At 50.9% G+C, this 24,776-nt stretch overlaps 1 protein-coding gene across 19 annotated transcripts in view, besides 1 other annotated feature; it reads left to right on the forward strand.

Annotated features, from left to right (window-relative positions):
• Positions 1-24,776, forward strand: part of ST3GAL4 (ST3 beta-galactoside alpha-2,3-sialyltransferase 4) — a 58,953-nt gene that overhangs the window by 27,437 nt on the left and 6,740 nt on the right. For 8 of the 19 annotated variants that reach the window (NR_145671.2, NM_001348396.2, NM_001254757.2 and 5 more), the window contains 5 exons: positions 22,974-23,049; positions 23,351-23,435; positions 23,821-23,901; positions 24,130-24,227; positions 24,452-24,512. Coding sequence is in view for 18 of the 19 variants with exons in the window: in NM_001348396.2 (NP_001335325.1) it covers positions 22,974-23,049; positions 23,351-23,435; positions 23,821-23,901; positions 24,130-24,227; positions 24,452-24,512 (401 nt within the window). In the remaining variant the exon portion in view is untranslated. Of the gene's footprint in view, positions 1-1,634; positions 1,726-9,012; positions 9,233-20,293; positions 20,365-22,964; positions 23,436-23,820; positions 23,902-24,129; positions 24,228-24,451; positions 24,513-24,776 lie in introns of those variants that run through there. The other 11 variants (NM_001348400.2, NM_001348398.2, XM_047427426.1 and 8 more) reach the window with 7 other exon arrangements.
• Positions 10,606-11,533: an enhancer, noted in NCBI's record as "H3K27ac-H3K4me1 hESC enhancer chr11:126263623-126264550 (GRCh37/hg19 assembly coordinates)". NCBI's record gives its function as "activates a minimal SCP1, AML or CMV promoter by ChIP-STARR-seq in naive and primed H9 embryonic stem cells {active_cell/tissue: H9 hESC(naive and primed)}" and the evidence as "EXISTENCE:reporter gene assay evidence [ECO:0000049][PMID:30033119]".

Consider the following 24,776-nt stretch of genomic DNA (forward strand, 5'->3'; position numbering starts at 1 on the left):
CTGCCCTGGGACACTCTCCAGGCCTGCTGGGGACACACCTGTGGGGCTCATAGGCGTGGCTGGGTCTCCTCTCAGGTGCCAGAATCTTTCTGGGAGCTGAGCCTGGCTGGGCAGAGGGCGAGGAGCCCAGGATTCCCCTTTCCGTGACTTTGGAGGAACGAGGTTCCTGAGGGCTGGCACAGCCACTCCCTGCCCCTTAGAGGCTCTGGGCTGCCTGGTGACAGCTTCGGGGACCTGCAAGCTGACAGAGTCTCCAGGAGCCAGAGCTGGGGTGGGAGGAACCCACTGGGCCTGAGGGAGGTAGAGCAGCAGCAGCAGCAGCTGAGCCCAGCCCCCGGCCAGCCCTGAGGAATGGGGGAAAAGAGTGCCCTGGCTTGGGGGGGCCCTCAAGCCCCGGAAGCTGTATGTGGGCATGGGGGGCGGGGGCAGAGAGGAGGAGGACTGAGAAGTGGGTGTATTTGGGCAGGTGTGTGTGTGTGACCAAGCTTGCGGGCGCCTGAGTATGGACTAGTGTGTTTGTGCTGGAGGAGCCTGTGTAGGTTACTGACATGGGAGGGCCGGTGTGAGCTGCAGGGACCGGAGAGCTGCTGGAAGGGGCTGTCTATGCCTTCAGGCTCTGAGTGTGGATGCAGCTGGGCCTGTTCAGGCAGATTCACCAGAGGGGCTACTGCGCAGAGCCTGGGCCCTGGACACCTAGAAGGGCCCCTCCTCCCCTCGTCTTCCCTCCCTCATGGCCCACCTTTACTCTGAGGGGGTGGGCTTCCTGCGGGGGACAAACTGGAGAGGGACTCTCTTGCCGCCTTCTCTGTTCCTGGGGACAGGCTGCTGCAGGGTGGAGGGCTTGCTTTTCCTGCCCACCCTCATCTTTGCCGAGTCCTCGTCTGGGGGCCCTGCCCCACTCTCCCTTCCCAATGCAGGGCCCTCTCCTCTGGCGAGCCTGCCTTGATACTCCCCGGCTCAACCCCTTTAACCCTGCTGGCTCCTAATGGGACTAATGGGATTTCAGGTGTGGACCCTTGGACCCTCCGCTGCACAGTTCCAGAAACTTGTTCATCAAGTGCCAGGCTGACCATGGTGTCCGTCTCAGTGCCCAGCAGTTGTTCTGGTGATGGGAGGTGGGAGTACAAGGTCTGCCGAGTGAGGCAGAGGAAAGGGGTTTCTGAGCCCAGATCTCCGGTGCTCCAAGACACTCAAAACCAGAGCTGAGAGCCTGAATTCAGAGGCTGTACTGTGGGGCAGGGCTGGAATTTGTGGCACCTGTGTAGGGACTCCAGGGCTGAACGTTGCCTTTGCTGTCCCTGCTTGGGGATTTTGGGGTACTGGGTTTGGATAGAGTGTGTCATCTGCAGAGGCAGCACTGTTCTGGAAGTGGACTCTGCTCAGGTGTGGCGGGCCTGCCTGTGGGGTCACCATGGACAGGAGGCTGGTGTCTGGTCAGGCTGAGGGATCCGTGTGCCAGCCCTTCTGGGAAGGCTGAATGGGGCGGAACTGGTCAGGGCCTGGCACCAACTCCAGGATGTGCTACACCCAGACAGACAGATGGAGAGCCACCTCCCTAGGGGCCTCCTCCCCCTCCCCTTCTGCATGCCACCACACCCCAGCAGCATCTCCTGAGGCTGGGCCATGGGTGAATCTGAGTCGAGGGCAGGACAGAGTGGGAGTGGCAGTGCCTCTGCCTGTCTCCCTGGCCGTGGCAGGTCCTTTGTCACATATGGGCCAGGAGAGGTGAGTGTGATTGTGGTAGTGGTGGGGGCAGTGGCTGAGGACCCCTCTCTTTGCTGGGCTGGGACAGAGCTTGAATGGAGAGGGGCCGCCTTGTGCCTGGGAAGGGAGGACCAGGTGTCGCTGGCACCTTCCACGTCCTGAGTGCTTGTTCTGTGCCCAGCCCCTGCTGAGGCTGCGGACATTAAATACCAGGATATGTTTTGAGACTCAGGACACCTCTGAGGACTTGCTGCTGTTATCCACATTTAAAAGACGAGGACTCTGAGGCTCTGAGAGGTTAAGTACCTGGTCCAGGTCACCTGGTCAGTTTCTTTCTTTTTTTTTTTTGAGATGGAGTCTTGCTCTGTTGCCCAGGCTGGAGTGCAGTGGCGATCTCGGCTCACTGCGAGCTCTGCCTCCCGGGTTCACACCATTCTCCTGCCTCAGCCTCCCGAGTAGGGGACTACAGGCGCCCACCACCACACCCGGCTAATTTTTTTTATTTTTAGTAGAGACAGGGTTTCACTGTGTTAGCCAGGATGGTCTCGATCTCCTGACCTCATGATCCTCCCACCTCGGCCTCCTAAAGTGCTGGGATGACAGGCATGAGCCACCGCGCCTGACCCACCTGGTGAGTTTCTGAGCTCCAGACAACTCATCCCAAATTTCATGGGTGCATAGAGTATAGAGATTAAAAGTAGTTCTGGCTGAATTTTAAATCCTGGTTCCACTATTTTCGACCTGTCTGATTTTGGAACATTTAATGTATTCCTTCTGTGCCTCAGTTTTCTTCTGTGTAAATGAGAATGAAAGAGTACTCCCCCATCAATTTGTTGAAAACTTCAGTAAGATTATGCCAGGAGCTGCAGCACAGCCCCAGGGATGATTTAAAAGTGAATTCAGGACAGGGCGTGGTGGCTCACGCCTGTAATTTCAGCACTTTGGGAGGCTGAGGTGGGAGGATCCCTTGAGCCCAGGAGTTTGAGGCCACCCTAGACAACATAGTAAGACCTTGTCTCAAAAAAAAAAAGCGAATCCAGTGGTGTCACTCTTTGTTATCAATGCCCTCCAGTGACATTCATGACACCCAAACTTAGAATCTGAGCTTTTAGGGTGGCCTGTGACATCTATACCACGTGTCCCCGTGGCCTCCCTGGCACCCCCTTTCCTTCCTGGCTGTCTGCCACCATATGGAACTTTCTGTGCCTTGCACCCAGCCAGCTCAGAGTCTTGGGCACTTCTCTCAGTCTGGAACCTTCTCTTGCCTACCCCATCTTCCCATGGCTGCCCTTCATGTAGGCCTCCGGTTTATAGCCGGCTCCTCAGAGACATGGTTCTATCCCCCCAGTGGCCAAGGGCTGGTGGCCCTCACTCTCTGCCCCTGTGCCCTGTGTTAGTGGTCCTGTGGTTGTCATTGCCCCGTCATCTCCACCATTTCCTGTTTGCCGTGTGTCTGTGCCCCCCAAGGATGAATGCCATGAGTCCAGCATGTCACCCTGTTTCTGTCCTGCCACAGTGCTCGAGTCAGTGCCCTCCCTGCTTGCATTCGGCCCACAGGCCTTGTGGCTCCTGTTTCTGCTGACCTGTCCAGCCTCACAGTCTGGGGAGGCCTTGGGGTCCCCAGCCTGTGCTGGGACAGGGGTATTATTCCAGTAGCCCTTCTGTGGAACAAGTAGGGAAGGAGTGATGTGACCTCTGTGGCTCTCCTGGGACACAGGTTAGTCCTGTGGGTGACCTCACTTTAGAGAGGGCTGGCCAGCTGTGCCGGAATTAGGAAGTGGGTACAGCTGGACAAAAGGTGGCTGGAGCCAGCTCTGCAGAAGCCACACCTGCTCATGAGAAGGGTATCCTTGTGAGTACAGGGGAAATGGCATGGAGAAAGACAAACACCGGTGGGTGGCTCTGCCAGCTTCCCCTGGGGTGCTTCTGGCAACGCCCAGGTCTGTGCACATCCAGATCTTTGCACTGCGCTGTTTTGACTTGGAGAGGAGAGGAGGAAGTTAGCTGCTCTGAATGGTGTTGCTGCTAATCTCTACAGCACTTTCCTGTAAATTAGGAACGGTAACACACACACCCCTCCCCCACCCCGCTGGAGAAGCCCTGCACCAGAGCATACAGTTTGGCAAGTAGGAGGAGGGCTGGAGCCCAGCCTCACTTGCTGCCCTGGCCAGGCCGTGATTGCCCAGGGTGCATACTGTGGCTGGTGCTCTGCCACTGCTGTTTCTGTCCTCAGGGTAGGACACAAGGAGGGCAAGTAGGGCCAGTCAGCGAGAGGCGCAGGTGACGCGTGTTCTAGGGTCTGAGATCAGCTGCTTCCATTTCAGTAATTGTCTTTGGAGCTACATTGTCTGCTCATACAACTTCCCTTCCAGATAGTGCCATTTTAAAAATCCCATTTACCCAAAAGAAAACCTGACACCTGGAAAGGTCGTTTGCACTCACACAAGTGATGGTTGGTCCAGAATTCACATCCAAGTGTGAGATTTCAATATTTTTTTTCTTCCTCCTTTTTTTAAATCAAATTTTATTTGAAAGGGTATCACAGTCACCAGTTTGAAAAAGGTAAGCAGGCCAGGTGTGGTGGCTCACACCTTTAATCTTTGCATTTTGGGAGGCAGAGGCAGGCGTGTCAGTTGAGCCCAGGAGTTTGAGACCAGCCTGTTCAACGTGGTGAGACCCCATCTCTCCAACATTTACAAAACTAGCTGGTCATGGTGGTATGTGCGTGTGGTCGCAGCCACTGGGGAGGCTGAGGTGGGAGGGTTGCTTCAGCCTGGTGGGTGGCTGCAGTGAGCTGAGATTGGGCCTTTGGTCTTCAGTCTGGGCTACAGAGCAAGACTCTGTCTCAAAAAAAAAAAAAAAATTATAAAGGTAAGCAGTACAAATGGGAATATGAGCATAAGTCACTCTCATTCCAGACCTCTGACCCCCAGGACTTTTCTCTTGAGAGGCCATAGCCTTTGTTTTGCATCCTTCTGAGTAAACCTATTCGTGTACAGACATATCTGGGTATGCATGTAACTGTTTTGTGAAAGTGCATTTGGAGATATGGATATCGTTGTTTTCACCCATCCTAAGTTTTGATGCTATGGATACTATGTTTTGGAGATTAGACGATACCAGCACGCATAGGTTTGCAGCCTCTTTTTCACAGCTCCATAGTGTTTCCTTGTCTGTGAGCAGATTTCAAGTTGTTTCCATCTTAACCCCTAGAAAAAGTGCTGTTGAAGATCCTGACAGACAAGTCTGTAGAAACATAGGAAACTTTGTAGAATAAAGTTCTGGCCATGGGCCAAATTCCCTCTGAGAGGTAGCTCTAGTTTTTCTTCCTAGTACATCTATGAGAGCTCAGGTCCCTCGTGTTTTGCTGTTATGATGAATGAAATATGCTGTCTCCATCACGCTGGAATTTGTAGATGTAGATGACCATAGTTTCTTATTTGCCATTCATTTCTTTACATTAAGGTAAATATTCATGTCCTTTGGCTATTTTTATTTTATTTCTTTTTTCTTTTCTTTTTTAAGACAGAGTCTCGCTCTCTCTCCCAGGCTGGAGTGAAGTGGCTTAATCCTGGCTCACTGCAACCTCCACCTCCTGGGTTCAAGCGATTCTTCTGCCTCAGCCTCCTAAGTAGCTGGGATTACAGGCACCTGCCACCATGCCTGGCTAATTTTTATATTTTTAGTAGAGGTGGGGGTTTTACCATGTTGGCCAGGCTGGTCTCGAACTCATGACCTCAAATGATCCATCCACCTTGGCCTTCCAGAATGCTGGGATAATAGGTGTGAGCCACTGCGCCTGGCCCTTTGCCTATTTTTAAATTAGGTTTCTTGTTTTTTTTTTTTTTTTTTTTTCTGATTTACGTGAGCACATCATAGGCTCAGTGAATTTACTGATATGTTAGGTATAGGTTGCAAATGTACTTTAGTTTTTCAGTGTCTTTTTTTTTTTTTTTTTTTTTGAGACGGATTTTTGTTCTTGTTGCCCAGGCTGGAGTGCAGTGCAATGACACGATCTTGGCTCACTGCAGCCTCCACCTCCTTGGGTTCAGGCAATTCTCCAGCCTCAGCCTCTTGAGCAGCTGGGATCACAGGCGCCTGCCACCATGCCTGGCTAATTTTTGTATTTTTAGTAGAGACGGGGTTTCACCATGTTGGCCAGGTTGGTCTCGAACTCGTGACCTCAGGTGATCCACCCGCCTCAGTCTCCCACAGTGCTGGGATTACAGGCGTGAGCCACCGCTCCCCGGCTCAGTTGTCTTTTAAGTGTTTCATTTGTCTTCTCTCTACTCCTCCCTCTCTCTCTTGCACTTGCTGTCTGTCTCACTTAAATTTTATGTAGGTGAATATATTCATCTTTCCTTGTTTAGCTTCTCAATTTATATTTCTTCACTATCTCTATTAATATGAAAATATCTCATCTATATAAATATTAATGTAACAGAGTTGCATGTGATAATCTGCCAGGTTGAACAAATGGGAATATTATCTCTCATATGACGTTAGATTTTTTTCCTTTAAGAAATAAAATATTGCAAGTAGAGAACCAAAGACATGCCCCTGTGACCTCTTTTATTCTTCCCCATCTCCCCAGAATATAATTATCACTTAAAGTTGGGTGTCAACCTGTATTTCATTCTTTCATCATACACACAAGCACACACTGTTTATACACATAAATAATGTTGTTTTTGGACGCATACTTTGTTTTTGCAACACCTTTAAACATAAGTTTTTACTTTTATTATTTTATTTAAGATAGGATCTTGCTCTGTCACCCAGGCTGGAGTATAGTGGCGCGATCATAGCTCGCTGCAACCTCTCATCTCCTGGGCTCAAGTGATCCTCCCACCTTAGTTAGCCTCCTGAGGAACTGGGATAATCACAGTCATAAGCCACCAAGCCCAGCTAAGTTGTTTATTTTATTTTTTTATTTTTTAAATAAAGATGAAATCTTGCTATGTTATCCAGGCTGGTCTCAAACTCTTGGGCTCAAGCAATCCTCCTGCCTTGGCCTCCCAAAGTGCTGGGATTACAGGCATGACTTTAAAAAGTTAACATTATGGGCCAGGCGCGGTGGCTCACGCCTGTAATCCCAGCACACTGGGAGGCCGAGGCGGGTGAATCACGAGGTCAGGAGATCGAGACCATTCTGGCTAACGCAGTGAAACCCCGTCTCTGCTAAAAATACAAAAAAAAAAAAAAAATTAGCTGGGCGCGGTGGGGGGCGCCTGTAGTCCCAGCTACTTGGGAGGCTGAGGCAGGAGAATAGCGTGAACCCGGGAGGCAGAGCTGCAGTGAGCTGAGATCACGCCACTGCACTCCAGCCTGGGTGACAGAGCAAGACTCTGTCTCAAAAAAAAAAAAAGTTAACATTATGTCTTCAAGTTTATCCCAATTGACCCATATGGATTGATTTCTTCAGTTTACATGGCTATATAGTATTCAGGTAGCACAGTGTATATAGCCATGGCTGTACTGATGATAGTGTTTCCAGTTTGTTTGTTTTTTTTTGCTATTGCAGCACTGCCTAATAAATATCCTGGAGTGGGTTGTACTTATATACTTCAAAATGGAATTACCAGATTGTAAAATATGCACATATTCAGCCTCACTAGATACTGTGAAGTGCTCTTCTAAGCCTTTGTGTCAGTTTGTACTTCTGCCAGCAATGTGGAAATGAGATTTGGTTTTAATATGTATTCCCTGGTCACGAGTGAGCCTCAGCATCTTTTCATATGTCCACCAAGTGTTTGGGTTTAATCTGTGAATTGCCTTTTTGTGTTCTTTGCTTTTTTTTTTTTTTTTTTTATTTCTTTGATTGTTTTGGTGGTTGTTATGGTAAAATGCACAAGCACGAGGTTGTATTTACCATCTTAACTCTTTCTGTGTGTATAGTGCAGTGGCATTAAGCACTTTCAGAATGTGCTACCGTGCTACCATCCCACCATCCATCTCCCGAACTCTCTTCATCTTGCCAAACTGAAACATCCCACCCACTAGTCAAGAACTCCTCATTTCCGCCTCCCCCCAGCCCTTGGCAGCCACCATTCTGCTTTCTGTGTCTGTGAGCTTGACTACTTTAAGTATCTATTCTAAATGGAATGATACAGGACTTGTCTTTTTGGGACTGGCTTATTTCACTTCGCGTAGTACCTTCAAGGTTGATCCATACTGGTAGCAGAATTTCCTTTCTTTTTCAGGCTGAATAATATTCCATTGTATGCGTAGACCACATTTTGTGGATCCGTTCATCCACTGATGGACGCTTGGGGGTTGCTTCCACATTAGCTATTGCAAAGTCAATAATGCTGCTGTGACCACGGGTGTACAGATATCTCTTTGACATCCTGGTCTCAAATATTTTGGGGATATACCCAGAAGTGCAGTTGCTTGATCCTATCCTGTCCCTTGCTTTTCCCTTTGCTTCCTTGTTTTTTTTTTTTCTTTTTGTTTTATGGGAGTGCTGATATATTCAAGTATTTGTTGATTGCATGCATTATGCCTGACTTGCTCAAAGCATGATGTCTTGAGCACTTAGCAACCTTGTGCCTGCTGAGTGGTGGAACAGTTCTGAAAAGGTCTGTTCTGGAGTGGGGGTGCTGTTTCGGAGAGCGATGAATCAGGGGCTTGGGTGCTGACTTTAGGAGGTGCGGCTCTTGGAAAGACAGAGTGTGACTTCCCCAGTGTGGTCTCCTTCCTTTTCCTCACCACTTCTCCTACCTAACCCCAAGAATGAGTCCTTGAGTCTGTCTCAGTAGGTGGATCTGCATTCAGTGCAGGGCAGAGCCTGGGTGGCAGTGCCTCTCCTTGCCTCCCTGGCTGCTACAAGGTCCTGTGTAGCATCTGGTGTGGACCCAGCAGCCAGGAGGAGAGCTGAGTGTGATTGGGGTCGTGGTGGGGCCAGTGGCAGTGGATCTCTCTCTTTGTTGGGCTGGGCCAGCGCTTGAATTGAGAGGGGCTGCCATGTGTCTGGGGAGGGCAGAACCCAGCGTCACTGACACCCTCCAGATACAGAGTTCTTGCTCTGTGTTTGGCCCATACCTAATGTTGTGAAGTGGAAATACTGGGGTGTGTTTTGAGGCTCAGAACACCTGTGATAACTTGGTCGTGTGTGTGTGTGTGTGTGTGTGTGTGTGTGTGTGTATGTGTGTGTATGTGTATATATAAAATTATTTTCCTTAACACCACTGACCTGAAGGCAGTTACACGTAATTTACAAATGAGGAATCTGAGGCTTTGAGATTGTCAAGGTCACCTGACCAGTGACTGCAGAGGCTGGATTGGCCTGTGGGCCTGAGTCCGTACCCCTTTTCACTGGCTCCTCCTGGAGGCCACATGTACCTTGCGCTTCCTGGGGCTTGGTCCTGGGGTTTCATCTCAGGTTGACCCCCGTTAGGAGGAAGTAAGTAGGAAGGAAGGAGATTTCCTGGGTATTAGGGTGTCCTCAAGCCTGCAGCTCTCCTGGGACTGCACAGAGTTTACTGTCGGACATCAGTTCTGATATGGTGCAGCAGACATGGAGCTGGTAAGTGGTTAAGATCAGTCGGACATGACAACCTCCAGTTCTGCAGAAGCCACTTCATTTGCCTGGGGATAAAGCAGGTCCTTGTGAGCTCATCGACATGCATTTGGCAGAAAGTGCGCTGGCTCTGCCAGCTCCCAGTGTGAGCTTCTAGCAAGCCCCTTGTGCCTTAGATGCCCAGGTCTTTTCAGAATAAGCCTGGCTTGTTTTAACTTGATGCAACTTGCTGCTCACAGTCATCTTATTGTTTGCTGATGAATTCAGACCTCCATTCATTTAAATATTTGTCAGTTATCTACCATGTGTCAGGCATTAAATTTAGTGCTGGAGATACTATGGGACATAAGAAGTCCCTGCTTGCTGGGAGTGCGTGGTCTAATTGGTACTTGGGACAGTGTGGTTTAACTGCCACAAAGTTAATAAAGCAGCATGATGTGACAGAGCTGGATGTGGGGGAGTGAGGAAGCTTCTCTGGACTGGGTGGTCTGAACCCCATGCAGGGAGGAAACTGTGGCTGGGAGGAGAGGAGGCCGGAAGAGAGGTCTGGGCTTGGGTCCCAACCACTGATTCCAGATCTCTCAACATTTGTAACACGACCAACTCCTGTTCTTTTTTTTTTTTTTTTTTGAGACAGGCTAGAGTGCAGGGGGACGATCATAGCTTACTGCAGCCTCGATCTCCTGGACTCAGGGGGTCCTCCTGTCTCAGCCTCCCAAGTATCTAGGACTACAGGTGTGTGCCACCACACCCGGCTAATTTTATTTTTATTTTTATAGAGACGGGGCAGAGTCTGCAGTCACATGCCTTGCAAGTAGCAGAGACAGGGTTTAGTCTCGGTAGCCAGTGCCTAGGGCACAGGTCTTGGCCAGAGGAGAGAAGGCTCAGGTGAACCAGTTTCATCTGACCTGCTTGCTAACTCAAACATGGCTGCCCAACTGCGTGGGCTGGCAAGGTATGTGAGGTGGGTAGCTGGGTGGCCCGCCCCTTGCAGGCACTGGGGCAGGATATCAGGGGGTCCAGAAGAGGTTGGGTTTAGGCAGAGTAGAGGTGATTGTGTGGGCCGGGGGAGCAATGTCACCTTGAATGTGTTTCCATACCCAGGGCCCAGATGGCTCAGGAGGAGGGGGATGGGGACGGGGAGAGTGAGGTCTTTTTGACTTTGATGTGCTTTGACTGCACATCAGAGTCAAACGAGTCAGAATAAGCGGGACCCCTCCACAGGCATCTCAGCCCTCCTAATTTAGCCTTTCTGAAGTGGAGCCTTGGGAGCCGATGAAGCTTAATAAACTCTCCTGGTGCTTCCAGTAGGCACTTGAGGGTGGACACCACCGTCTTCAGGTCATAGGAAGTGTGAGCTAGCAGGAATCCTGGAGATTTTCTAGCCCAACAGTGTCCGGTCAAAATAGAATGGGAGCCAGAAATACAAGCCACATGTAATTTTAAATTACTTTTAAAACATTTAAATTTAGCCACGGTTTTAAAAAGTAAAAATAGGTGAAATTCGTTTTAATATTTTAACCCAATATAGCCAAAATCTTGGCATTTCAACATGGGATGAGCATAAAATAATGAAGGTGATATTTTATTCTTTTTTTGGGGTACTAAATCTTTGAAATCCGGTGTGTATTTTCCACTTAAAGCACATGTCAGTGTGGACTGGCCCCATTGCAAATACTCAGTGGCCTGGGACTGGGGTGACCAAGTGGGATGTGGTGGGGCTGGTGCAGTCCACCATTCTCACAGCAGGCATCTGGGGTCAGGGGAGGCAGGGCACTGGCTGTGCTGGAAGCAGGGGATTGGCTGTGCTGGTGGGAAGCCAGATTCCAGCCCCAGACACTGGTACCTTTGGCTTTAGATCCTTGGGGTGGGTGCATTGCTTCTCCTGGGAGGGAGGAGCGCCCGGGAGCCCCTGACCAGGACCTGGGGCAGGTCCACACAGGCCCTGGATTTCTCCTGTATCCTGGGCCTGGCCCTGCTCTCTTGACTCCCACCTCGTCACAGTGGCTTCAGCTTTTTCACCCTGAGAAGGGAATTCAAAGCCTCTGCCCCTCTCAGGCAGGCACCAGGATATGATTTTCTTTTTTCTTTTCTTTTTGTTTGAGACAGGATCTGACTTGGTCTGGAGTGTAGTAGCCTGATCTCAGCTCACTGCAGCCTCCACCTCCCGGGCTCAAGTGATCCTCCCACCTCAGCCTCTGAAGTAATTGGGATTACAAGCACATGCCACCATGCCCGGCTAATTTTTGTATTTTTTATAGAGATGGGGTTTCACCATGATGCCCAGGCTGTTCTTGAACTCCTGAGCTCAAGCAATCTGCCCTCCTCGGCCTCTCAAAGTGCTGGGATTACTGGCATGAGGCACGGGGCCCTGCCCTGGGTATGATTTTCAAGTGGTTGGTGTCTTGTGACTGGCAGCTGATAAACGGGTGATACAATGTTTCTGTACAGGAGTCTGCAGTGCCAGGCTGCAGGGGCGGATGGTGGGGGGTGGGTGGGTAGCCTGTGGAGCCCGAGGGTGGGAACAGAGAGTCTTCTTTTGCTGTAGGTGGAAGCCTGTCTGGCTCCTTTCCCTCTAAGGTCAGACAGCTTGAGAGATGTTTCCATCCTCCCATGCATGACCCTGAGGCAGTTAGCTGGTCAGTTACTCACTGTGCTCTCTGCCAACTCTAATGAGCCAGGAAGCCTCCCCGTGCCCAGGCGTGCTGTGATCACAGTGTTCAATGATGGGGTGAGGCTACAGCGTCCAGCCAGGGGCTGTGCCACAGGGGCCAGAAGATATCTGACCTACTGTCACTGCCTCTTCCACTCTGTTCCACCTGCACTGGGGCAATGCCATCTGATGAACAGATCCATTTATTAATTCAACACGTTTGTATTGAGAGCCTGCTGGGTGCCGGGCACTATTGTCAACATGGGTGATACAGCAGCAAGCAAAACAAGAGAAACATCTTTGCAAGCAGGGGAGGGGGCCTGCAGTGTTGGGTGTGTGGAGTTGTTGCTGGGAAGTAGAGAAGCTGAGTAAAGAGCTGGACGGAGAGAGATAGCCAGGCCCATGTCTACAGAAAAGCATTCTAGACTGAGTGAGCATAAATCGCAAAGGCCCAGAGGAGGGAGCATGCCTAGCTAGCCCCCTAGACCTGGTGAGGCTGGTGTGGGTTGGGCAGTGATACGGTTTGGCTGTGTCCCCACCCAAATCTCATATTGAATTGTAGCTCCCATAATTCCCATGTGTCATGGGAGAGACCTGGTGGGAGATAATTGAATCATGGTGGTGTTCTCCCCCAAGTTGTTCTCCTGGTAGTAAGTGTCAGGTGAGCCGATGGTTTTATGAGGGGTTTCCCTTTTCACGTGGCTGTCCTTCTTTCTTGCCTGCTGCCATGTAAGATATACTTTTTTTCTTCTGCCATGATTGTCAGGCCTCCCCAGCCACGTGGAACTGTGAGTCCATTAAACTTCTTTTTCTTTATTAATTTCCCAGTCTCGTGCATGTCTTTATCAGCAGCACGAAAACAGACTAACGCAGGCAGCCTGTGTTGGGAGGAGTTGGCAAGGAGGGAGGAGGTGCTGGCCAGTAGAGCACATGTGTCTCTGTGCATCAGAGCAAGGACCCGGGCTCTCCCCGTGAGTGAGAAGAGTCCATGGGGTTTTGGGGCTGAGGAGGAGTTTTACAGATGACCGGTCTGTTCTTGGCACTTGCAATTAGCGGACCGTCTGTATCCGAGTGTTGATCGGGTGGATTCTAACCCTGTGGGAGAACTCCCCAGCCCGTAGCCTGCGCTCACTGTACCTGGCAGTTGTATTAATGACGTCAAATGCACAGTCCAGCTTGAGTCCCCTCTAGAACGTGGGCAGCGGACACTAAGCCGAGAGGAATCGCTGTGGGTTGGCAGACACTGTGGAGACTGACTCCTGGACAGGCTGTGGAATGTGTGGAAGCAGGTACAGCCCAGGCCCGCGCTGAGGTTCGGCAGGGAAGCCAGAGGAGTCCGCAGCCCGGGAGACCTGGCCTACAGCGGAGAGAGTCAGTCCATGCCAGTGGTGGGATGTGGCTGCAAAAAATGGTCGGATTCATGGAAGTCTGGTGTCCAGCTGGCAGGCATTAGTGGTCCCATGAATACAGCTGTGTGCCTTGAACACGTACTGCAGAGCTTCCAGAGAGCACCAGGGCTGTGGGGGCTAGAGACTGTGTCTCGTGCGGAAGCGTGGCTGAGAAGGGGCTCGACAGGCTCTTCGTCACTGTGCGGAGCCTTCGAAGGACTTGGATGTGCTTGAGACCCCTTCCCCTAATTGCTGTGTAGGGCAGGGGTGGACATCCCGGGGATCGTGGAGTCTAGGGAGCCAGTCTGCACGGGATGGTTTTAGAAGCCGTAGGATGTGGAGGTTCTGGCTGAAGGAGCCAGAATTCCAGTGCCAGCTCCACTCCTCACGAGCTGTACAACCTGGGCCGGTTACTGACCCCTTTCCCACCTTAGTTCCCTGGCTCTACAATGGAGGTAATTATCGTGTTGAACTCACAGGGTCGAGATCATATTTAACACTTTCACAGCCCTTAGAAGTGTCTAGCACAGTGGTCCTCAGCATTTGGAAATGTCTGGAAACACTTTGTCACACCTGAGAAGAGGGATTTCCTACTGGTGTCTAGTAGGTAGAGGCCAGAGATGGCTGCTAAACACCCCATAATACACAAGACAGACCCCGCAACAGTGAACTCTCTGGCCCCTCCAAGTCAGTGGTGCAGAGATTGAGAGATCCTGGTTTCGCGTTTTGAGCGTGCAGTACATTTCAGTTGTTAGTGGAACATGCAATACATCTTTATTCACATGTTATTACTTATTTGTCAGATGTTTGTAAAACATCTGCTACATTCTTGGCAGTTTAATAGAATCTGGAGATACAAAGAAGTTCCTGACCACAGAGGTCATTTAGGCAAGCTAGGAAAGCACAGAATGATATAACACAAAGTTACATTGTACCATAAAGCATATTCTATAGTACACTTAACTCTGGTGGGCTCTTGGTATAAAAATGTCTCCAATCTCAGAGGTCATGGGATAGTGGGCAAGACATGAAAACCTTGTATAATATAAAATTTTGTTACCTCTAAGTGCTGAAATTAAGGTATAAACAACGTCTCATGGGAACCAAAACATCAGTCATTTGGAAGTATAAGTCAAGCCTTCGTAGGAGAGGAACCATTTCAGCCCGATATTACCAGAGTGGGATGGTCCCAGCGAGCGGGATGTGGAGGGTTAGGATGTTATCTTAGTCTGTTTTGTGCTGCCATTACCACCAAGTAGGTAATTTATAAGGAGCAGAAGTTTATTTGGCTCACAGTTCTGGAGGCTCGGATGTCCAAGATCTAGAGGACACATCCGGTGAGGGTCTTCTTGCTGCATTGTCTCATGGTGGATGGAAGAAGGGCAAGGTGGAGAGAGAGAGCAGGAAGGGGCCTAATTGTCCTTTTATAAGGAACCCACTCCTGTAATAATGGCATTAAACCCATTCATGAGAACAGAGCCCTTGACCCATTCATGAGAACAGAGCCCTCATGGCCTACTCTTATGAGACCCCACCTCACAACATTGTTAACATTTAGGATCAAGTTTCTAGCACATGAACTTTGAGGGACACATTCAAACCATAGCATTCTGCCCCAGTCCCCAAAATGGATGTCCTTGTCACATGTAGAATACATTTGCTTCTTACCTATAATCCCAAATTCTTATTTGTTTCAGCACCACATTAAAAGTCCAAAGTCCACAGTCTCATCTAAGTCAGCTGTGGGTAAAACTCAAGGTATGGTTCATCCTGAATCAAATTCCCCTCCAGTCATGGGCTGTGAAATCAAGCAAGTTGTCTGCTTCCAAAGTACAGTGATGGGACAGGCATAGGACAGATATTCCATTCCAAAAGGGAGAGATAGGCAAGAAGAAAGGGGCAACTGGTCCAGACAACTCCAGAACCCAGCAGGGGGAACAATACCAAATCCCAACTTGACAATAATCTTCTTTGACTCCATGTCCTGCCTTCCAGACACACTCGGGTAGGGACTTGGGCCCCCAAGGCCTCCGGCAGCCCTGCTTCCCTGGCCTTGCTGGGCTCATTCCATGCAGCAGCTCTCACCGGTTGGAGTCTCATGCTTGCAGCTCCCCCAGGTTGCTGTTGCACACTGGTAGCTCTGCAGTTCTGGGGTGTCAGGATGGCCTTACTCCCACAGCTCCACTAGGCTTCCTGGGGACTCTCAGCAGCTCAGACTCCACAGTTCTGCTGGGCATTGCCCTACAGGGGCTCCCTGGTGGTGGCTCTGACCCTGCAACCAGTCTCTGCCTGGGTCCCGAGTCTGTCCGCAATATCCTTTGAAATCTAGTTGGAGGGAGCCAGGCCCATAGCCCCTGCATTCTGTACTCTGGTGGCATTAGGACCATGTGGGATGCCACCAAGACTCACCACTTGCACCTTCTAGAATGGTAGGTCAAGCTGCACCTGGGCCCATTTAAGCCATGGCTGGGGAGGCAGAGGAGCACTGTGCCCAAATGTGGGAGCAGAGACTTGAGGTGGCCCTGGACAGTGAGCCACAGGTCCTGAGGGCTCCCAAGACCTGGCTTTTGACATAGTTCCTTCCCTCAGATTTTGGCACTGCCGGAGCTGTGATCACAGGTCATCTCTGCAGTACCTTTGGGATCATTCTTATTTTCTTGATGAATAGCCTCTGGCTTCATTCTTATTGTACTAATCTCCTTATCAAACTGTGGCTCTGGCCAATACTAATCTCCTTATCAAGTGGTCCATACTAATATTCTTATTAAACTATCAAACGGTAACATGCCTGCACCCTTGCTTTCCTCTCCTGAAAGTTCTTTCATTCTCTACTACAGGGCCGGTCTCAGAATCCTTCCAGTCTCTAAGTTCTGTTTCGCTTTTCATTATAAATTTCTTTCTTTCTTTCCTTCTTTTTTTTTTTTTTTTTTTTTGAGATGGAGTCTCACTCTGTTGCCCAGGCTGGAGTTCAGTGGCACGATCTCAGTTTACTGCAACTTCTGTCTCCTGGGTTCAAACCATTCTCCTGCCTTAGCCTCCCTAATAGCTGGGATTTCAGGTGTGTGCCACCACACCCAGCTAATTTTTTTGTATTTTTAGTAGAGATGGGGTTTCATCATGTCAGCCAGGCTGGTCTCGAACTCCTGACCTCAAATGATCCGCCCGCCTCAGCCTCCCAAAGTGCTAGGATTACAGACGTGAGCTACTGCGCCCAACCCTGCTTTTATTTATAAGTTTCATCTTTAAATTATTTATTTCTTCTCAAGTTTTACAGTATACAGTTAAAATAAGTCATACAGCAACCAAAATGCTTTGCTGCTTAGGTATTTCTTCCACCAAATAGCCTAGTTTATCACTCTTAAGTTCTGCCTGCTATACAGTTTGAGGACCTGGACACAATGTAGCCACATTCTTTGCTGCTTTGTAACAAGGATGACTGTTATGCCAGTTTCCAGTACCTTAATCTTCAGATATATCTGAGACCTCATCAGAATGGCCTTCACGATCGATATTTCTACCACCATTCTGATCACAACCACTTAGTCTAAGAAGTTTCAGACTTTCCCTACAGATCTTCTAATCCCGCTTTATTGCCTGCCTGCCTCCCTCCCTCCCTTCCTTCTTTCCTCTCTGCTCTCTCTCTCTTTTCTTCCTTTCCCTCCCCTCCCCTGCTTTCCTCTCCCCTCTCCACTTCTTGGCACCAATTTTCTGTCTTAGTCCATTTTGTGCTGCTGTAACAGAATACCACAGATTGAGTATATTATAATGAATAGAATTTTATTTGGCTCATGGTTCTGGAGGCTGGGAAGTCCAAGATCAAGGGGCTGCTCTGGCAAGGGCCTTCTTGCTGCATCATCCCATGGTGGAGAGTGGAATGGCAAGACAGATCAAGAGGGGACCTAACTGGCCTTTTATAAGGAACCCAGTTCCACAGTAATGGCATTAACCCATCCATGAGAGCAGAGCCCCATGATCTAAACACCTTTTATTAGGCCCTGCTTATACTGTTGCACTGGGGATCAAGTTGCAGCACTTGGACTTCGGGCAACACATTCAAACCATAGCAGGCACCTTAATAAAGGTGGAAAAGGGATGTGGCAGCTACAGTGGGAGGGAAAAGGTGGCTCCCTTAGTGTGCTTGGGAGGAGGGTAAGAGATGCGTTTGCAGTTCTCATGGCCGCAGACTGAAGGGGCCTGGTTACCTAAGGGACCTTGGCTTCATGTAAGGAGTGCGGAGTGAGTGAAGCAAGAGGGTGATTTGATCCATATCATTTCTTAGAAGGATACCATGTTGGCAGTTTCGAAGAAGGGGCATGAGTGAGGAAACAGTTGTGGTGAAGAGACCAGTTAGGAAGCCTGTAACTTGGGGTGGGATCTGGAACCAGGCTGTGGCTCCGGAAGAGGAGCTGGAGGGCTGCACTGTGAAGTATTTCTCAGAGTCTAGACAATGTGACCTTCACACTGGGGCTGAGTTTTGTAAAATCCGACATCCCCAGTTTCACCTATGATGCCAGGCCTGTGGTAAGGAGCTTTGCAAGCATTTGCTAGAATATGAGCAAATGGAGGTAGAACTGATAATATTTAGTAACCATGGGGGGATGAAAGAGGGAGGTGTTGGGAGACTGGGTTGATAATATGGGGGTTGGGAGTGAGGAGAGAGTCCAGCTTTGAACATCTTCTTCCATTTGAGGAATTTAAGATCATCCAGCTAGAAAATTAGAAATACTAGGATGGAGTGTGGAAGAGAAATTAGTGCTGAAAATAAAGAGCTCGAATCATCAGTGTATGAATAGTAGTTAAACCTCTGAAAATGAGTGAACTTGTCCCCTGAAAATGTGTGGCAGGGGAGAAGCGAGGTTCAAGGACAGTGCCCCCGAGAATGCCAGCATTTAAAGGGTGGACCCTCGGTGGCTCACGCCTGTAATCCCAGCACTTTGGGAGGCTGAGGTGGGCGGATCGCTTGAGGTCAGGAGTTTGAAACCAGCTTGGCCAACATGGTGAAACCCCGTCTCTACTAAACATACAAAAATTAGCCAGGCATGGTGGTGGGTGCCTGTATCCCAGCTACTAGGGAGGCACAAGAATCACTTGAACCTACAAGGCAGAGGTTCCAGTGGGTTCGTGCCACTTCACTCCAGCCTGGGTGACAGAGGGAGACTCCCTCTCAGAAAAAAAAAAAGAAGAAGAAGAAAAAAAAAAAGGTGGGCCCCGGCAGCAGAGCCTACTGTCCCGGAGGCAGGAGGAAAACCTGAAGGGAATCTTGACCTTGACCTAGAAGCCAAGGAGGAGGCATGGCCAACAACATCAAAGGCCTCTGAGCAGCGCAGTGAAGACTGACAATAGACCTTTCTTAAGTTTGGCAATTAGAAGGTCATTGGCCTCAGCAAGAGCAATTTCAGAATAAAAACAAGAGTGGAGGGAGTGGCATAGGGGTCGGGGGACAGAGTAGGAAGTGAGGGTGTAGTAGAGGGGAAGAAGTTTGATCACTGAGGGAAGGAGGGAGATGCAGGGGTAGCTTGAGGAGGAGATAGAGCAGAGAGAGGTTTGCTGTTTATTTTAGGAAGAGGAGACTTGAGCATGTTTATAAGTCAGAGAATAGAGAAGGAGAGGTGGGAGACACAGGGAAAAGAGGAGTCATTGATTGGGAACTATTCTGGGAAGGTGAGGTGGATCTGGTGTCTAGGTGGAAGGATTTGGGGGAAAGAGGGGAGGTAGGAGAGTCTAGACGTAGACAGCAGGCAGACAGGGGCTCCAGGTTTTCCCTACAGAACTGAGGACAGTGATGGCCGAGCGTGGTGGCTCATGCCTGCAATCCCAGCACTTTGGGATGCCAAGGTAGGTGGATCACTTGAGGCCAGGAGTTGGACACCAGCATGGGCAACATGGAGAAACCCCATCTCTACTAAAAATACAAAAATTAGCCGGGCATGGTGACACATGCCTGTAGTCCCAGCTACTCAGGAGGCTGAGGCACGAGAATCATTTGAACCTGGGAGGTGGAGGTTGCCGTAAGCTGATGGCACCACTGCACTTTAGCCTGGGCGATAGAGCAAGACTGTCTGAAAAAAAAAAAAAAAAAAGAAGAAGAAGAAGAACTGAGGACAGTAAGAGTAAGTGGTCGCTTGTGATCACAGAACCAGCAAGTAAACCGCGAGCTTCTGCCCCTCTGGTCTTCCCAGACCCCTTCCCCGGAACATTAAGCCATATCGCTTTTATGGGTCCAGGGGCTCTGAGGGGCTGGGCATCATACTGTGCCCCTGGGGGCATATCTAGTTCTGCCCCACTTGGTTGGGCGGGTACCTGCTGAGTACTCACTGTGTGTTAGGCTGTGAATGCTGGGGCAGCAGGAGGCATGGTTTCTGCCTCCACTGGGCCTTATTTCTTCACCTTGTCCCCCAGTTCTGCCCTTGGGTAAGTTCTGTGGCAGAACTGACCAGCTCCCTTCGGCCAGGGACATCTTGGTTCCTGGCAGAGCACCAAGAAGAGCAGATTGTCTTCCTACCCGGGGGCACCTTTGCCCAGCAGGTCGGGTGAGCTGGCCTCTTGGTGAGAGGCTGGTCCCCTTGGACATGAGTGGATTCGATGCCTGCTTTCCCACCCAGGTACTCTACTGTGGCTTTGCTCCTGCCCTTTATGCTCAGAGCTAGACCAGCAATGTGGGGGAGCTGCTGGGGAAAGGCGCCATGTTGTCTTGAGGTAGCAGCCAGCCCCGGAAGCCCTGGAATGCCTGGGGCCACTGAGCAATCCTCACCCTCAGCCCCACAAGGGGAGGGCGTGGCTCGTGAAATTCCTGATTGGGTATAGCCCAGCAAGCCCCAAGACTCGCCCAGTTTGCTTAGCGCAACACTGACGCTGTTTTGGAATGAAGACAAGACAATGTAGAACTTTACTGGGGAAGAGGTCGAAGAAGGGCTAATTGTCTTGTTGTTCAAGACTGGTTAGCGCTGCTCACCTCTGACGCTGCTCACCTCTGACGCCAAAGGTTTTTCCCTGGAAGGCAGCCCTGGAGGATACCTGTGTATCTGTCTTTCACAAAAGGTGAAATGAGCTCTTTGTAGTGTTTCCCGCCCAGGCTGCATTTTAGAATCACAGAGGAGGTACGGCGCTGATTTGTTTTACTATTCCCTATTCATGCCTGGGCCCCACCCCTAACCAATTAAATAAACATCTCGGAGAGTGGGGCCTAGACTTTATATGTTTAAGCTCCTCAGGTCATTGCATTGTGCAGCCAATGCTGTGACCTATGAATACAAAGGAAGATGAAACGCACCCTGGTCATGCAAGGAAGATGGAGAGAGGGAGCAGGGAGGGTGAGAGAGGCTGCAGTTCGTAAGGTCCTGAAATGTTAGAGCTGGAGGGATCCTGGTTCGGAGCACTGCAACTCAAAAGAGTAGTTCTAGCCATGCAGCAGGCCCCATTAGGGAGCTGGTTAGAATGCAAATCCCCGCCTGCCCTGCACCCCATCTGGCACCCTCTGAGTCACGGCGTGCACATCGAGGTTTGAGAAGTGTGCTTTCAGGTCACCCACAGATCATCCAGACCAGTGGTTCTCAACCTTGGCTGCACTTTAGAATCACCCAGCGGGCTTCAGCGAATTCCAGTGCTGGGCTAGATGAATTAACCCAGAATTTCTAGGTGTTGGGACCCAAATACTCATTTAAAAAATTTTTTTTGTTTAAGTACTTCAGGTGAGTCTCTTCTTCAGCCATAATCAAGAATATCAGGCTTGACCAGTGCTTCTCAAACTTGGACAGATAGATGAATCGCCAGGGTATCGTGTTTAAATGCAGATTCTGATTTTATAGGTCTGGAAGGGGCCAAAGAATCCACTTGTCTGGGCTCTGGGATGCCCATGGGACTGATCTGGCCTTTTTTGAGCAGTGGGAATAGGCTGACTTCTCAGTTTGACAGCAAGGAAACTGCAGGTCAGAGAGGGAGGTGTGATCGTCCACGGTAACCAACCTGATATGCATTCAGTACTTTCTGATGTACTCTACTGTGTGCCAAGCAGCATGCTACATGTGGGACTAGAGCTGCGAACAGGACAGACCCAATTCCAACCCTCACAGAGCTTATATCCCAACTGGGGAGACAGACAGAAAGAAAACAAGTAACTAAGCTGATGACAGATGGGAAAAGCTATGAAGGCGAGGAGGGCCATGTGTAGGGAACGACTCAGAGATTGCTGTGGGGTGAGGGGTAGGTAAGGCACGCCCCTTTCAGAAGAGCTGTCGGGGGAGTTACTAGGACAATACCTTTAACTGGGGACTCCTGCTGATTACAAACTGATCACTTTTCTTTACTGGACAGGACTAGGCTTCATCCCCTCTGGGGTTTGGGGATGGTGCTTCTGACTCTCCTGAGGCAGTCTGACCCTGGTCCCTGCCTGGCTGTCTCCTCTGACTCAAGACTCTGATCCTTCAGTGTTTGTGGGTTCAGAGCAGAGCCTGGGAATGAGCCCGCTGGGGAGCAGGACACTGACTCCACCATAGGACAGGGCTCAGGATCATTGGTTAATGGTTTGTAAAATGGACCAGGCCTCATCCAGATGCTGTCCCCAGCCCCTATGAAAACATGGAAAGTTTCCACTGGTGCACAAACACTAGTGCTTGCCTCCCTTTCCTGATCAACCGTCGGACTCACATGGGCTGTTTGTGAAAATGCCTGTCCCAGGCCATACTCAGGCTGACCAAGGTGGTCTGGTCTCCAGGGAAGGGCCGTGAAATGTATTTTTAGGAAGTGGTCCAAAGGACTCTTCTGATCCAGATCATCAGGAAGCATGGCGTGGATGGAAGAAACTGGCACTTGGCATCTGGTGCCTCTGTGTGGCTGTAGAAGCTACAGAAATGTCTTCTGCAGTGACTGCAGCGTGGCCCTGGCTGAGCTGGTGCTTGTGAGGAAGCCTCTGCTTGTGTGCAGGGGTGAACAGCAGCTCACCCCTTCCCATGCACAGTCCTCACCTTACTACCTTCACCCTTACTGGAAGCATCTCTTGACTTCTCTTTGGCCAGCCAGACCCTCCCAGCTCCCTGTGCTCCCCATTTAAACACCTTCCCTCCCTGAGCTTAGCCCATGGCTGGGTGGGGAGGCGTGAGCACTGTTTGCATTTGGTCAGGGCCTAGAAGGGATCAAGGAGGCCTCATGAGGACCATGTCATAGCCCCACCCTCACTCCCCACCCCTGACCTGAGCAAACCTGTTTGGCTGGATTGATGATGGAGAGGCAGGCAGTGACCAGACCAAGAGACGCCTTGGATGGTGGAGAATAGGTGACCCTCTGTTGGGTAAAAGAGGACTCAAGCCCTCACACAGTGAGTTGGCTAACTTTTTGTCTCAACAGTGGGCGGGGGTAGCTGTCTGCCTCCTGGAGCTGGCCCTTCCTGGGTCAAAATGCAGAAGGAGATGGTGAGAAGAACCACACCAGAGAGGCTGGAGTAGGCCAGCCTGGCTTGGGACCGAGTCCCGAGTCCCTGGCTGGACCCTCGGTTTTCCCTTCCGTGGCAGGGCTCACCTGGATCCTTAATGCCGCCCTTGGAGGAGTTAGGAGGATCCTGGATGAGAAAACTCACCCTCAGGATGATTGCCCCAGGGAGCAGCTTCCTGCTTTCTGGTGGAAGGGAGGGGCAGACAGTGGGTGTGTCCTGCTCCAGTGTCTAGGCAGGAGAGTTTGTGAAGCTGACCGGACACCTGTGGCTCTTATTTCCTAGGTGGCCCGAGGCAGCCGGGATGACAGCTCTCCCCAGGAATCCTGCTGCCTGCTGAGAAACATGGTCAGCAAGTCCCGTGAGTGTCATCCGAGGGCTCCCCCACCCTGGAGGACAGGCCTCAGAAGCCGTCTTCAGCAGGATCCTGGGACCTCTGGGGGCTGTGGAGGGACAGACAGGGAGCCAGGGGCCCTTCTCTTCATCTTGAAGGACAGTGGGTACAATCAGGGTCAAGCCCTCAGCCAGGGCCAGGAGAGGGCCAGAGACTGCTTCTGTTGAGTTAGGGGTCGGAGGGACTCAGAAGGGGGCAGGTGGGAAGGTGGACGGGGGTTGTACCTGCCTGTTGCTGCCTCTAGCTCCTCTCTGCATGTGTCCTGCAGGCTGGAAGCTCCTGGCCATGTTGGCTCTGGTCCTGGTCGTCATGGTGTGGTATTCCATCTCCCGGGAAGACAGGTACATCGAGCTGTGAGTTCACCTTCCATGTCCTTCCAGTGGCTCTTGTCAGGGACAGGGCTTAGGGATGGAGCATCATGGAGCGGGGGACCTAGTAGGGCAGGAAGGTTCCAAGAGCCGGCACATGACCTCATCCCTTCAGCTGCTGGTACGGAGTGTTTCCATGAGGGTGGGTGGGGGTAGGGCCTGGGATGTCTCACTGGGCCCTCACCCAGGGAGTGCAGGGGCAGGAAGACCTGGATCCTCAAGGACTTGGGTTCCAAGTGGAACTTAACTTGAGATGATTCCTCCCCGGCACCTTGGGACCTTCATGCCGTGGGAGAAGGCTTAGGCTGCCTGGAACATGGGTCCCTGGGTCTGACTGGGGCTTCTGCCTCCTGTCCTTTTTTCTCTCCAGTTTTTATTTTCCCATCCCAGAGAAGAAGGAGCCGTGCCTCCAGGGTGAGGCAGAGAGCAAGGCCTCTAAGCTCTTTGGCAAGTAAGTACTTAAGGATGAGGAGGGTAGAGCAGGGCATGGAGCGAGCTGGGATTGAGGGTTTCACAGTGTGGGGAGTAGATGGAAAGAGCAGCTGTGTTGGTGGACATGGGTTAGGTGAAGCCAGGGAGGGAAGAGAAGGCCTTATAATATTAGTCATGGGCCTAACCCTACTTCTGGCATCAAGATTAATTCTGTTCTCATCCCCACCCGGCTTTCACCTCTGTGCAGCTACTCCCGGGATCAGCCCATCTTCCTGCGGCTTGAGGATTATTTCTGGGTCAAGACGCCATCTGCTTACGAGCTGCCCTATGGGACCAAGGGGAGTGGTAAGTTCCTACCCGGCTCGTGGGAACCATGGGCTCACCCTGACCACGTTGCTTCCTATTCTCTGCCGTCCACGGCCCCAGTGCCCAAGTTCTGAGCCTGACTCGGGTACCAGGGTCAGGGGAAGAAGAAGGCAGCCAGCGCTCTGAGGAGCAGTGGAGGGAGGGCAGGCAGCCTTCAGAATGCTATCTGTCACATCAGTCCCTCCGCCTGGTACTTTTTGTAGAGGATCTGCTCCTCCGGGTGCTAGCCATCACCAGCTCCTCCATCCCCAAGAACATCCAGAGGTAAGGCGGCACTCCGACTCCAGTCTGGGCACCTTCTCCTATTTCCTGCCCCCTGCCCGCTCCCCCCACTCCCCACCCCCCCGCTCTGTGAAACAGTCATGGACTGGTACCATCCCAGCCAATTCTCATGGTAGCCTAGCCTGGGCATCTGGGTGCAGAGTGGGCAGAGGCTGCTCGAGGGTATTGCAACAGTGGGGCAGGCGTTTCTCATTGATACACCCCCCCATGCCTTCCCTCCACTCCTCTGCCCTCTTCTGTGCTCTG

The sequence above is a fragment of the Homo sapiens genome, chromosome 11 (assembly GCF_000001405.40).
Source record: "Homo sapiens chromosome 11, GRCh38.p14 Primary Assembly".
Classification (NCBI taxonomy): domain Eukaryota; kingdom Metazoa; phylum Chordata; class Mammalia; order Primates; family Hominidae; genus Homo; species Homo sapiens.